The sequence below is a fragment of the Homo sapiens genome, chromosome 15, assembly GCF_000001405.40.
Source record: "Homo sapiens chromosome 15, GRCh38.p14 Primary Assembly".
NCBI lineage: Eukaryota > Metazoa > Chordata > Mammalia > Primates > Hominidae > Homo > Homo sapiens.
This window is the reverse complement of record NC_000015.10, coordinates 41,353,917-41,366,912: the sequence shown is the minus strand read 5'-3', so window position 1 is coordinate 41,366,912 and position 12,996 is coordinate 41,353,917. Positions and strand designations below refer to the sequence as shown.

The window sequence follows — 12,996 nt, the reverse complement described above, 5'->3', positions numbered from 1 at the left end:
CGCTAAGACCTATTCATATGAGTATGTTCTTCCCTATGAAACCTCCTCTATAAAATTGGAAGAGGTGACTTTCCTAACAGATGTGTAGAAATCAATGCAAGGACACATAAACCATGAAAATGTAGGGAAACAAGTCACCTTCAAAGAAAAATGGTAATTCTCCAGTAACCCTATTCATAGGGAAATATATGAAATACCAGAAAAAGAATTCAAAATAATAATCTTAAGGGAACTCAGTGAGATACACAAGAGAATACAGACAAGTCAATGAAATCAGGAAAACAATTCATGATTTGAATGAGAAATTTAAGAGGTACATATACCTGGGTGCGGCCAGGCGCGGTGGCTCATGCCTGTAATCCCAGCACTTTGGGAGGCCAAGGCAGGTAGATCACCTGAGGTCAGGAGTTCAAGACCAGCCTGGCCAACATGGTGAAACCCCGTCTCTACTAAAATAAAAACTTAGCCGGGTGTGGTGGTACGTGCCTGTAGTCCCAGCCACTCGGGAGGCTGAGAATCGCTTGAACCTGGGAGGCAGAGGTTGCAGTGAGTCAAGATCTCGTCACTGCACTCCAGCCTGGGCAATGGAGTGAGACTCTGAATGAAGAAAAAAAAAAAAAAGAAAAAAGAAAAAAAAAGAAAGGTTGGGTGCAATGGCACGTTTGTAATCCCAGCACTTTGGTTGGCCAAGGTGGGATGATCACTTGAGCCCAAGAGTTCAAAACCAGACTGGACAACGTAGTGAGACCTTGTGAAATTAGCTGCGCATGGTGGTTTCAAACAGCTAGAAGGAGGATACTAAATATAAAGCAATGATAACTATTTGAGATGATGGATATGCTAATTACCCTGATCTGACTACAATACAATATATGTATTGAAACATCACTATGGGCCGGGCGTGGTGGCTCACGCCTGTAATCCCAGCACTTTGGGAGGCTGAGGTGGGCAGATCATGAAGCCAGGAGATCGAAACCATCCTGGCTAACATGATGAAAGCCCGTCTCTACTAAAAATACAAAAAATTAGCCGGGCATGGTGGCACGTACCTGTAGTCCCAGCTACTCGGGAGGCTGAGGCAGAAGAATCACTTGAACCTGGGAGGCGGAGGTTGCAGGGAGCTGAGATTGCGCCACTGCACTCCAGCCTGGGCGACAGAGCGAGACCTCATCTCAAAAAAAAAAAAAAGAAAAAGAAAAGAAAAGAAACATCACTATGTACCCTATGAGTATGTACGAATATTATTTGCCAATTAAAAATTTTTTTTTTATATAGTCCATGTGAAATCTTGTTCATGATTACATTTTGGAGTGATTTCTTTACCTGACACCCGTTTTAGCTGCAGAGATAGCAGAGCGCTTGAGTGACCCCTTCAGACCCAAGGTACTCTGACTTGCAGGGCCACAAGACCGGCCTTGCGAGCGTCGTTGGCTGATGGGAGTAGAAGCCACAGAGAGTCTTCCTCTTGGAGGTACTGGAGTCCTGACCCCTCCCTTATTGATGGGCTGCTGCTGAAGAGAAAATGCATCATTTTAAAAGCTTGGCCTCTCCAACATGGTGAAACCCCATCTCTACTAAAAATACAAAAATTAGCCGGGCGTTGTGGCATGTGCCTATAGTCCCAGCTACTCAGGAGGCTGAGGCGGGAGAATCACTTGAACCCAGGAGGCGGAGGTTGCAGTGAGCCGAGATCACACCAGCCTGGCAACAGAGCGAGACTACATCTCAAAAAACAAAAACAAAAAACAAACAAAAAGACTTGGCCTCTGATACAGTATTGTCTCCTAGGCAAAGTTCAGAAGAGCGTTTCCATTTATCCCTGTTTCATTCCTCATTTGTAACTCCATTTGGAATCTTTTCTTTCCTCACTACCTCACCTCATCCTATTCTACCTGTCTGGCTGGCTCCACAGTTACCTGCCATTTATTGCTATGGGGATTCTGTTATAAAGAGCAATTTCCAGTTGAGGCTGAGTAAGGAGTTACAAGAAAGCCTTTCCCGGCTGCTATGGACCCAGGCATTTTCTTTCTTTTTTTTTTTTATTTGAGACAGAGTCTGGCTCTGTTGCCCAGGCTGAAGTGCAGTGGCACAATATGGGCTCACTGCAATCTTCACCTTCCAGGTTCAAGCGATCCTCCCACCTTAGCCTTCTGAGTAGCTGGGATTATAGGCACCTGCCACCATGCCCAGCTAATTTTTGTATTTTTAGTAGAGACAGGATGTTGCCATGTTGGCCAGGCTGGTCTCAAATGCCTGACCTCAAGTGATCTGCCTGCCTTGGTGTCCCAAAGTGTTTGGATTACAGGCGTGAGCCACTGTGCCCAGCTATCTGGGCATTATCTTTTCTTTCTTTCTTTTTTTTTAAATGAGACGGGGTCTCTTTCTTTCACCTGGGCTGGAGTGCAATGGCATGGTCTCAGCTCACTGCAACTTCTGCCTCCCAGGTTCAAGCGATTCTCCTGCCTTAGCCTCCCAAATAGCTGGGACTACAGGCACCCACCACCACACTCGACTAATTTTTGTATTTTTAGTAGAGACGGGGTTTCACTGTGTTGGCCAGGCTGGTCTTGAACTGCTGACCTTGTGATCTGCCTGCCTCAGCCTCCCAAACTGCTGGGATTACAGGTGTGAGCCACCACGCCCAGCCTAGCCAGACATTTTCTAACTAGAGACATAATGTAGAAAAACAGTCCCTTGTAGCCACAAAGGAAGAAAAAAAGATTATTTTGGAAATACGGAAGCTTTGAGACGTTATATACAGTTTATTAAATATAAACTTAGGCCAGGTGTAGTGGCTCACAACCTGCAATCTCAGCACTTTGGGAGGCTGAGGCAGGAGGATCGCTTAAGCCCAGGAGTTCATGACCAGCCTGGGCAACATTAGGAGATCTTGTCTCTACAAAAACAAACCTAAAGAACCTATTATATATTTAACATGTGGAATCTACAAATAATTCTATCCTCTCCCTCTATCCCCAAACAATAGCTTTTTGAAGTCCTTTAAAACAAAAAACAAAAAGAGGGAAGGAAATAAATGCTTGAAGGGTTTCACTTAGGGTATCTGTCTTAGATATTGTCAAGGCACAAAGAGTAATTGAATATCTTATTATCATTAGTCTAACATCTGTTGCAAGCAGAAAAAATTAACTTTATTGCCTGTCAACTGAGATATGACAATTGAAATTAATATTTAGAAAAATAAAAATGTAGGTTAAGAATTAAATACAGGGACTAGAAATAAACATAATCTGGTGGCCCATGCCTATAATCTCAGTACTTTGGGAGGCAGAAGAGGGGGGACCGCTTGAGCCTAGGAGTTTGAGACCAGCCTGGACAACATAGGGAGGCCTGTCTCTACAAAAAACTGAAAAATAGCTGGGTGTAGTAGTGCATGACTATTGTCCCAGCTACTAAGGAGGCTGAGGTGTGAGGATCACCTGAGCCCAGGAGGTTGAGGCTACAGTGAACCATCACTGCACCATTGAATTACCACCTGGGTGACAGGGTGAGACTCTGTCTAAAAAAATATATATATATGTATATAATTTTATATAAAAATTGTATATATATATAGAGAGAGAGAGAGACACACACACAGACAGGCAAGATCTTTTTTTTTTTTTTTTTTAGATGGAGACTTGCTCTGTCGCCCAGTCTGGAGTGCAATGGCGTGATATTGGCTCACTGCAATCTCCGCCTCCTGAGTTCAAGCAATTCTCCTGGTCAGCACCCAGAGCAGCTGGGATTACAGGCATCTGCCACCACGTCTGGCTAATTTTTGTATTTTTAGTACAGACGGGGTTTCGCCATGTTGGGCAGGCTGGTCTTGAACTCCTGACCTCAGGTGATCCACCCACCTCAGCCTCCCAAAGTGCTGGGATTACAGGCGTGAGCCACTGTGCCCAGCCATATATATAAGTATATATGTCTATACATTTTTTTGAGACAGGGTCTCACTGTCACTGAGCCTGGAGGACAGTGGCCCGATCTCAGCTCACAGCAATCTCCGCCTACGGGCTTCAAGCATTTTTCCTGCCTCAGCCTCCTGAGTAGCTGAAGTCAAGACCTTTCTAAGCATGACAAAAAAGTAAGCCTTAAAAGGAAGAGTTGGATAAATATAACTACAATTAAAAATCTTCCACAAGGCAAGATACTATTAATCTAGTTAAAAGGTAAACAATGGGGCCAGGCACGGTGGCTCACGCCTGTAATCCCAGCATTTTGGGAGGCCGAGGCAGGCAGATCACGAGGTCAGGAGATTCAGACCATCCTGGCTAACTCAGTGAAACCCCATCTCTACTAAAAATACAAAAAAAAAAAATTAGCCGGGTGTGGTGGCGGGCGCCCGTAGTCCCAGCTACTCAGGAGGCTGAGACAGGAGAGTGGCATGAACCTGGGAAGAGGAGCTTGCAGTGAGCTGAGATTGCAGATCATGCCACTGCACTCCAGCCTGGGTGACAGAGCGAGACTCCGTATCAAAAAAAAAAAAAAAAGATAAACAATAGAAAAGTACTTAAAACAGATAATATATACCATTAATATAGATAAATAAGAATAATAATTGAGAAAAAGCAAATCTGCATAAAAATAGCCAATTATAAAATATAGAGATTTATAACTATATAAGGTACCTTGGAATACAAGTTTTCCAATCTTTTTATTATAAATAAATAGATAAATTAATTAAAATAAATTAATTAAATGTAGGTATATATGTATTTGTTTATTTGAGATGGGGTTGTTCTATGTTGCCCAGCCTGGTCTTTGACTCCTGGGCTCAAGCAACCCTCCCACCTCAGCCTCCCAAGTAGGTGGGATAATAGGCATGAGCCACCACACCCAGATAGTTTTCTGATCTTTTTAGAGGGCCATTTGACAACTAGATCAAACAAGTCTGTCTTTTGTTATCATAAAAGTCAAAGAGAGGCTGTCATGGCCAGAATGATCTCTTTAGGATATCTGCTTATTACTGTCCATCACCATCTAAATGACCAAGCCCCAAATGTGCCAGGAGCAACTTCATCTCAGGTATGGTGAAGTTATTGTAATTTTTTTTTTTAATTCTCTAGTCTCCAAAGAGATCATACCAAGTTATATATCTGATAGGCCAGTTCCTTAAACATTCAGGGTGAACAGTGTTATTTTAGAACTAAACTCATTCAGATGGGTCTACCAGGCTGGAGTTATACTAAAAAGTAAGATAAACTATTCGTTTATTCAACACATTTTCTAGAGCAATACTCAACGTTTATGGTTGAGACAGTCGTTCTTGCTCTGTCCTTAACTTTTACTTAGAAAATTATGTCATCCATATTACAAAATATAGAAAGCAGCAGCTTGACTCTTTTTTTTTCTTTAGAGATGGAGTCTCACTGTATTGCCCAGGTTGGTCTTCAACACTGGGGCTCAAGTGATCCTTCGGCCTAACCCTCCCAAAGTTGTGGATTGACAGGTGTGAGCCACTGTGTCTGGCTGAAACATTTTTTTAAATTAACTTAAATTATTATTATTTTTTTTTTGAGATGGAGTTTCACTCTTGTTGCCCAGGCTGGAGTGCAATGGCATGGTCTCGGCTCACCGCAACCTCTGCCTCCCGGGTTCAAGCAATTCTCCTGCCTCAGCCTCCCGAGTAGCTGGGATTACAGACATGCGCCACCATGCCAAGATAATTTTGTATTTTTAGTAAAGATGGGGTTTCTCCATGTTGGTCAGGCTGGTCTCAAACCCCTGACCTCAGGTGATCCGCCTGCCTCAGCTTCCCAAAGTACTGGGATTACAGGTGTGAGCCACCACGCCCTGGCCTATTTTTTTTGTTTTTTGAGATGGAGTCTTGGTCTGTTGCCCAGGCTGGAGTGCAGTGGTGTGACCTCCATGCACTGCAACCTCCACCTCCTGGGTTCAAGCGATTCTCCTGTCTCAGCTTCCTGAGTAGCTGGGAGTACAGGCACCCACCACCATGGCCAGGTAATTTTTGTATTTTTAGTAGAGACAGGGTTTTGCCATGCTGGCAAGATCTGTCGAACCCGGGAGGTGCAGGTTGCAGTGAGCCAAGATCGCACCACTGCACTCCAGCCTGAGTGACACAGTGAGACTCATCGCAAAAAAAAAAAAAAAAAAAAGATGGATAAACAGTGCCTTCAAATGTGGTAACAGTGAGGACAGGAGTGGTGGCTCACGCCTGTAATCCCAGCACTTTGGGAGGCTGAGGTGGGTGGATCACCTGAAGTCAGGAGATCGAGACCAGCCTGGCCAACATGGTGAAACCCCATCTTTACTGAAAATATAAAAATTAGCAGGGGCTGGGCGCCGTGGCTTATGCCTGTGATCCCAGCACTTTGGGAGGCTGAGGCAGGTGGATCACAAGGTCAGGAGTTCAAGACTAGCCTGGCCAACATAGTGAAACCCCGTCTCTACTAAAAATACAAAAAATTAGCCAGGCGTGGTGGCAGGCACCTATAATCCCAGCTACTCAGGAGGCTGAGGCAGGAGAATTGCTTGAACCTGGGAGGTGGAAGTTGTGGTGAGCCAAGATCACGCCATTGCACTCCAGTCTGGGCAAGAAGAGTGAAACTGTGTCAAAACAAACAAACAAACAAACAAACAAAAATTAGCCGGGTGTGGTGGTGGTTGCCTGTAATCCCAGGTACTTGGGAGGCTGAGGTGGGAGAATCACTTGAATCCAGGAGGTGGAGGTTGCAATGAGCCAATATTGTGTCACTGCACTCCAGCCTGGGCAACACAATGTGACTCCATCTAAAAAAAATAAATAAAATTACAAATACAAATATTAGCTGGGTGTGGTGGTGGGCACCTGTAATCCCAACTACTTGGGAGGCTGAGGCAAAATAATCTGCTGCATCCGGGAAGCAGAGGTTCCAGTGAGGCAAGATCGCACCATTGCACTCCAGCCTGGGTGACAGAGTGAGACTGAGTCTCAAAAAAAAAAAAAGTTTGACAAACAGTGCCTTCAAATGTGGTAACAGTGAGGATGGGAGCAATGGCTCATGCATGTAATACCAGCACTTTGGGAGGTGGGTTGATCACCTGAGGTCAGGAGTTCAAGACCAGCCTGGCCAACATGGTGAAAACCCGTCTCTACTAAAAATAAAAAAATTAGCTGGGTGTGGTGGTGGGCGCCTGTAATCTCAGCTACTGGGGAGGCTAAAGGCAGGAAAATCACTTGAATCAGGGAGGCAGAGGTTGCAGTGAGCTGAGACTGTACCATTGCCCTCCAGTCTGGGCAACAAGAGCGAAACTCTGTCTCAAAAAAAAAAAAGAAAAGAAAAGAAAAAAAATGGTTGTAACAGTGGTTTTACATCGTTAAAATGAATGTTTATTATTTCAATTAAGCTTCTCACCAAGAAGCTTAAGTACTTAAATTATTTACAATTTATCACCCAGTGAGTTTTCCTCTTGGCCCTAGCTGCCAGAAAACTTAAACTCAGCTGAGTGACTGATGGTAGTAAATACTGTACCTACTAACAGTGCTAATTTTCTGCCGCTTTTAAATTGACTATACTATTTTATATTTAATACCATAAACTTACATTATTTTGAGAATAGGCCTTAAATTCTTTTTGAGAAATAGGGAAGTTATGTAAAATAAACATGGGGTTAAGAATTAAATACAGCGAATAGAAATAAATATAATCTGGTGGCTCACACCTGTAATCCCAGCACTTTGGGAGGCTGAGGTGGGAGGATCACTTGAGCCTAGGCGTTCAAGGAGAGCCTGGGAATCATAGGGAGACCCTGTCTTTATGAGAAAAATACATAAATCCATAAATATTTAAAAATGTGTTTCCTGCCCTCCATTCGGCACTGCCTTAACACCAGATACCAATAACATCAACTTGCTAGAATGTTACTCACTACTTTGCTAACTCAGCCTCAGAGTTGACTTTATCACCTTCTCTTACTTGAGGAGGCTTTGAGTCCTGTGGAACCTGGACTGAAAGCCCTCGAGGGAGCTGTTACCACAGGAACCCTTCAGGTTTGCCACTATTAATCACCCATTTTCCTTTACATAAGGGACGAGGGAAAGAAGATGGCTTCAGCCATAAGTTGGTTCATCATCAATGAAAGTAATAGGCAAAACATCTGAATATGGAAAGTAGAATGACATTGCCATTTTGGAAATAGTTTCTCATAGTCAGGATTCACTGTTTTCTTTTTTTTTGAGACGGAGTCTCACTCTGTCACCCAGGCTGGAGTGCAGTGGCGCGATCTCAGCTCACTGCAATGTTGGCCTCCTGGTTCAAGTGATTCTCCTGCCTCAGCCTCCTGAGTAGATGGGATTACAGCCATGTGCCACCCCCTACTAATTTTCTGTATTTTTTGTAGAGACAGGGTTTCACCATGTTGCCCAGGCTGGCCTTGAACTCCTGACCTGAGGTAATCCACTTGCCTTGGCCTCCCAAAGTGCGGGGATTACAGGCATGAGCCACTGCGCTTGGCCATGGATTCACTGTTTTATCTAGAGGACTTTGAAAATTCTCAGGGTAGGGGAAAGCAAGTTTTAGATAAAGATATATTAAATTCAAACAAATCTACTGGTAGAGTGACAGCCAGTTGTTGTAACCACGGTGTTATATAGTTTCAAAATTATAATCAAACAGTTTAGTTCCATTAAGAACATAATTTTATCTACATACCTTCAGTTCATTCATGGAATTGTGTTCTTCAAAATGTTTCTTTTTTCTCTCAATATATTGATCAATGGACTCCATTTCCTTAAAATGAGCTTCATGAAGCTTCTTAAAGTCTAGAATGTTCCAATATAAAAATTAATAACAAAACAAAATCCATTTATTTATCTTCTCTGTGTTTTTCTGTTAACACTTATTCTCTTCTTTGCATCCCTGACATTCAACTTCAATATAATTTTTGCTAAAACATTAATTTCAAAATACTTAGTTTTTGGAAACTCAGGGGCAAAGCACATTCATCTTATAAACTATCAAACATTCACCATCTCCCCACTGACAAATTTCACTAAATTGACATCTTGGTTTAATCCAGAGGATTAGAGTAGAAGATTTATCTTCTCCCCTACCAATTAGTCACAAGTGGTCTTTATTTAATAATGAATTTGATATTTTATAATGCTGTATGTCAAGGACTGACAAATTTATTCTATAAAGGGCTAGATAAAAGTATTTAAGACTTGGCTGGTCATGGTGGCTCAACACCTGTAATCTCAGCACTTTGGGAAGCCAAAGCGGTCAGATCACCTGAGGTCAGGAGTTCGAGACCAGCCTGACCAACATGGAGAAACCCCATCTCTACTAAAAATACAAAAATTAGCCAGGTGTGGTGGCGCACGCCTGTAATCCCAGCTACTCGGGACACTGAGGCAGGAGAATCGCTTGAACCCGGGAGGTGGAGGTTGCAGTGAGCCTAGATTGCGCCATTGCACTCCAGCCTGGGCAACAAGAGCAAAACTTCGTCTCAAAAAAAAAAAGTATTTTAGGCTTTATGGCCACATATGGTATGGTCTCTGTCTCATATTCTTCTTGTTTTTATGTTATTTATTTATTTATTTTGAGACGGAGTCTTGCTCTATTGCCCAGGCTACAGTGCAATGGCATGATCTTGGCTCACTGCAACCTCTGCCTCACAGGTTCAAGCGATTTTCCTGCCTCAGCTTCCCAAGTAGCTGGGGTTAAAGGCACCTGCCGCCACACCTGGCTAATGTTTGTATTTTCAGTAGAGATGGGGTTTCACCATGCTGGCCAGGCTGTTCTCAAACTCCCAACTTCAGGTGATCCAGCCCCCTGGGCCTCCCAAAGTGCTGGGATTACAGGTGTGAGAACCGCACCCGGCCATTCTTCTTGTTTTTAAATTCTTTAAAAAATGTAAAAACCACTCTTAGCTCAAAGGATATAAGACAGGCCAAGGCAGGCAACAGTTTGCTGACCCCAACTGTATCCTATTCTGATTAAGTATATGAACATTTATTGAATTTTGAATATACGATAAGCAGCATTGCAACTACTATAAATATAATAATCAACATTCTATGTGCCAAGCAATGTTCCAACAATATAAGATAGAGAAGACTTACATGCCCAAAAACGGAATCATTTAGACTTATGAAAAACTCATTAGAAGGTGGATATTGTACCAAGTAGTTCATACATTGATTCATCAGTTGTTTATTGAATCCTTGCTGCATGCTATTTGCCGTGATAGGGAAGCAGTAGTGGAAAAAGTATTCTCAATTTATGTATCTATCAACCTGATGAAATAGGTACTATAGGCCAGGCAGAGTGGCTGACGCCTGGAATCCCAGCACTTTGGGAGGCCGAGGCAGGCGGATCATGAGGTCAAGAAGTTGAGACCATGCTGGCCAACATGGTGAAACCCCATCTGTTCTGAAAATACAAAAATCAGCTGGGCGTGGTGGAGCACACCTGTAGTCCCAGCTACTAGGGAGGCTGAGTCAGGAGAATCACTTGAACCTGGGAAGTGGAGGTAGCAGTGAGCCAAGCTCACGCTACTGCACTCTAGCCTGGGTGACAGAGCAAGACTCTGTCTCAAAAAAAAAAAAAAAAAAGAAAGAAATAGGCACTATAGTATAACTATTTCCACTTTGCACTGAGGAAGTGAGTTTATTGAGGATGAGTAAGTTCCCCAAGATATCAAACCTAAAAGACGAGAGAACTAGAATGTAAACTGGTTCCAGCCTCTATGCTTTCAGCTGTTACAGTCCAACATCATTCCGAAGTGGGGCAACCATTACTTATTATGGCTTTGTCTACAAAACTTACTTGGAGTAGTGATTGCAGTTCTTTTATTTTTTCCAGGTTTGGATGACTCATCTGTGTAGAGAGATTTCTTTCCTTCTGAAGGTACCTTTGAATCTCTGTTACCTAAATCCAAAGACACAGAAATAATGAAGGATTTCAAAAAAGTTCTCATTAAGAAATATGTGGCCGGGCACGGTAGCTCACGCCTGTAATCCCAGCACTTTGGGAGGCCGAGGCGGGTGGATCACGAGGTCAGAAGATCAAGACCATCCTGGCTTATAAACTATCAAACCCCATCTCTACTAAAAATACAAAAAGTCAGCCGGGCGTGGTGGTGGGCGCCTGTAGTCCCAGCTACTCGGGAGGTTGAGGCAGGAGAATGGTGTGAACCCGGGAGGCGGAACTTGCAGTGAGCCGAGATCGCGCAACTGCACTCCAGCCTGGGCAACAGAGTGAGACTCCACCTCTAAAAAAACAAAAACAAAAACAAAAACAAAAAAAAAAACGTGTGTAAGTTAACAGAGTATTTTCACATGGTAGGCTCTGTCAAGATGGTGGTAGAAACAGCACATAGGGAGCACAAAAAATTAGTTACAGCATTCCTACGATTACAGGTCATATGCTTCAAGTAGGCATTCAGAAATTTTCTGACACCTGTGGAGAAGTTATATAAACATATTAGAAAGTTGGTCAGGCGCCGCGGTGGCTCCCACCTGTAATCCCAGCACTTTGGGAGGCCGAGGCGGGTGGATCATGAGTTCAAGAGATGGAGACCATCCTGGCCAACATGGTGAAACCCTGTCCCTACTAAAAATACAAAAATGAGCTGGGCGTGGTGGGGCGTGCCTGTAATCCCAGCTACTCAGGAGGCTGAGGCAGGAGAATCGCTTGAACCCAGGAGGTGGAGGTTGCAGTGAGCTGAGATCACGCCACTCTACTCCAGCCTGGCAACAAAGCGAGACTCTGTCTCAAAAAAAATAAATAAATACATAAAATAAAAATACAGAAAGTTGGCCAGGTGCAGTGGCTCATGCCTGTAATCCCAGCACTTTGGGAGGCTGAGGTGGGTGGATGGCTTGAGTCCAGGAGTTTGAGACGAGCCTGGGCAACACAGCAAGACTCTGTCTCTATTTTTTTTTTTTGAGATGGAGTCTCGCTCTTTCGCCCAGGCTGGAGTGCAGTGGCGTGATCTCGGCTCACTGCAAGCTCCACCTCCCGGGTTAAAGCCATTCTCCTGCCTCAGCCTCCCGAGTAGCTGGGACTATAGGCGCCCGCCCCCACACCCGGCTAATTTTTTTTGTATTTTTAGTAGAGACAGGGTTTCACCGTGTTAGCCAGGATGGTTTCCATTTCCTGACCTTGTGATCTGCCTGCCTCAACCTCCCAAAGTGCTGGGATTACAGGAGTGAGCCACCGCGCCCTGCCCTGACCCCGTCTCTATTACTAAAAAATTATTTAATATAAATTAAACATATATATATATATATATATCGGTTAAAACAAACTTTTTCAGTTTTTATTATGAACATAATATTGTTACAACTAGTGATAAAAGTCACGTAATCCAATCAGCCAAAGAAAACACCATTAACGTCTGGCATATTTCCTCTGGTCCTCTGCTTCCTATACTTATTTTGGTTGTTGTCATTTGTTTGTTTTGAGACGGACTCACACTGTCGCCCAGGATGGAGTGCAGTGGCGCGATCTTGGCTCACTGCAACCTCTGCCTCCAGGGTTCAAGAGATTCTCCTGTCTCAGCCTCCTAAGTAGCTGGGATTACAAGTGTGAGCTACCACACCCGGCTAATTTTTGTATTTTTAGTAGAGACAGGGTTTTGTCATGTTACCCAGGCTGGTCTCGATCCTGACCTCAGGTGATCCATCCACCTTGGCCTCCCAAAGTGTTAGGATTACAAGCGTAAGCCACTGCGCCTGGCCTGTTTGCTTCTGTGAAGAGACAAGGTCTCACTACGTTGCCCAGCTGGCCTCAAAATCCTGGGCACAAGTGATACTTCTGCTTCAGCCTCCTGAGTAACTGGGACTACAGGCATGTGCCACTGTAGCCAGCTTATTATTATTATTTTTTAACTTCAGTTGAAATTATGGTATATATTAGGTTAGGTATTTTTTCCCACTTACCATAATCATTTTCCAAATTCTGTCGTTTCTTTATTTTTTTGACCTTAATGGAATTTATTAGGCAAGGATGGAAAAGAACCATTCCAGGCAGAGGGAACAATAGTGAT

At 43.5% G+C, this 12,996-nt stretch overlaps 1 protein-coding gene across 23 annotated transcripts in view; it reads right to left on the bottom strand.

Annotated features, from left to right (window-relative positions):
- NUSAP1 (nucleolar and spindle associated protein 1) overlaps window positions 1-12,996 on the bottom strand; it is a 48,166-nt gene that overhangs the window by 14,134 nt on the left and 21,036 nt on the right. For 12 of the 23 annotated variants that reach the window (XM_005254428.4, XM_005254431.4, NM_018454.8 and 9 more), the window contains 3 exons: window positions 10,773-10,874; window positions 8,655-8,764; window positions 1,324-1,508 (listed from right to left, as the gene is read on the bottom strand). In XM_005254428.4, the coding sequence (XP_005254485.1) occupies window positions 1,324-1,508; window positions 8,655-8,764; window positions 10,773-10,874 (397 nt within the window). Of the gene's footprint in view, window positions 1-1,323; window positions 1,512-8,654; window positions 8,765-10,772; window positions 10,875-12,996 lie in introns of all 23 variants that reach the window. The other 11 variants (XM_006720559.4, XM_006720562.4, NM_016359.5 and 8 more) reach the window with 1 other exon arrangement.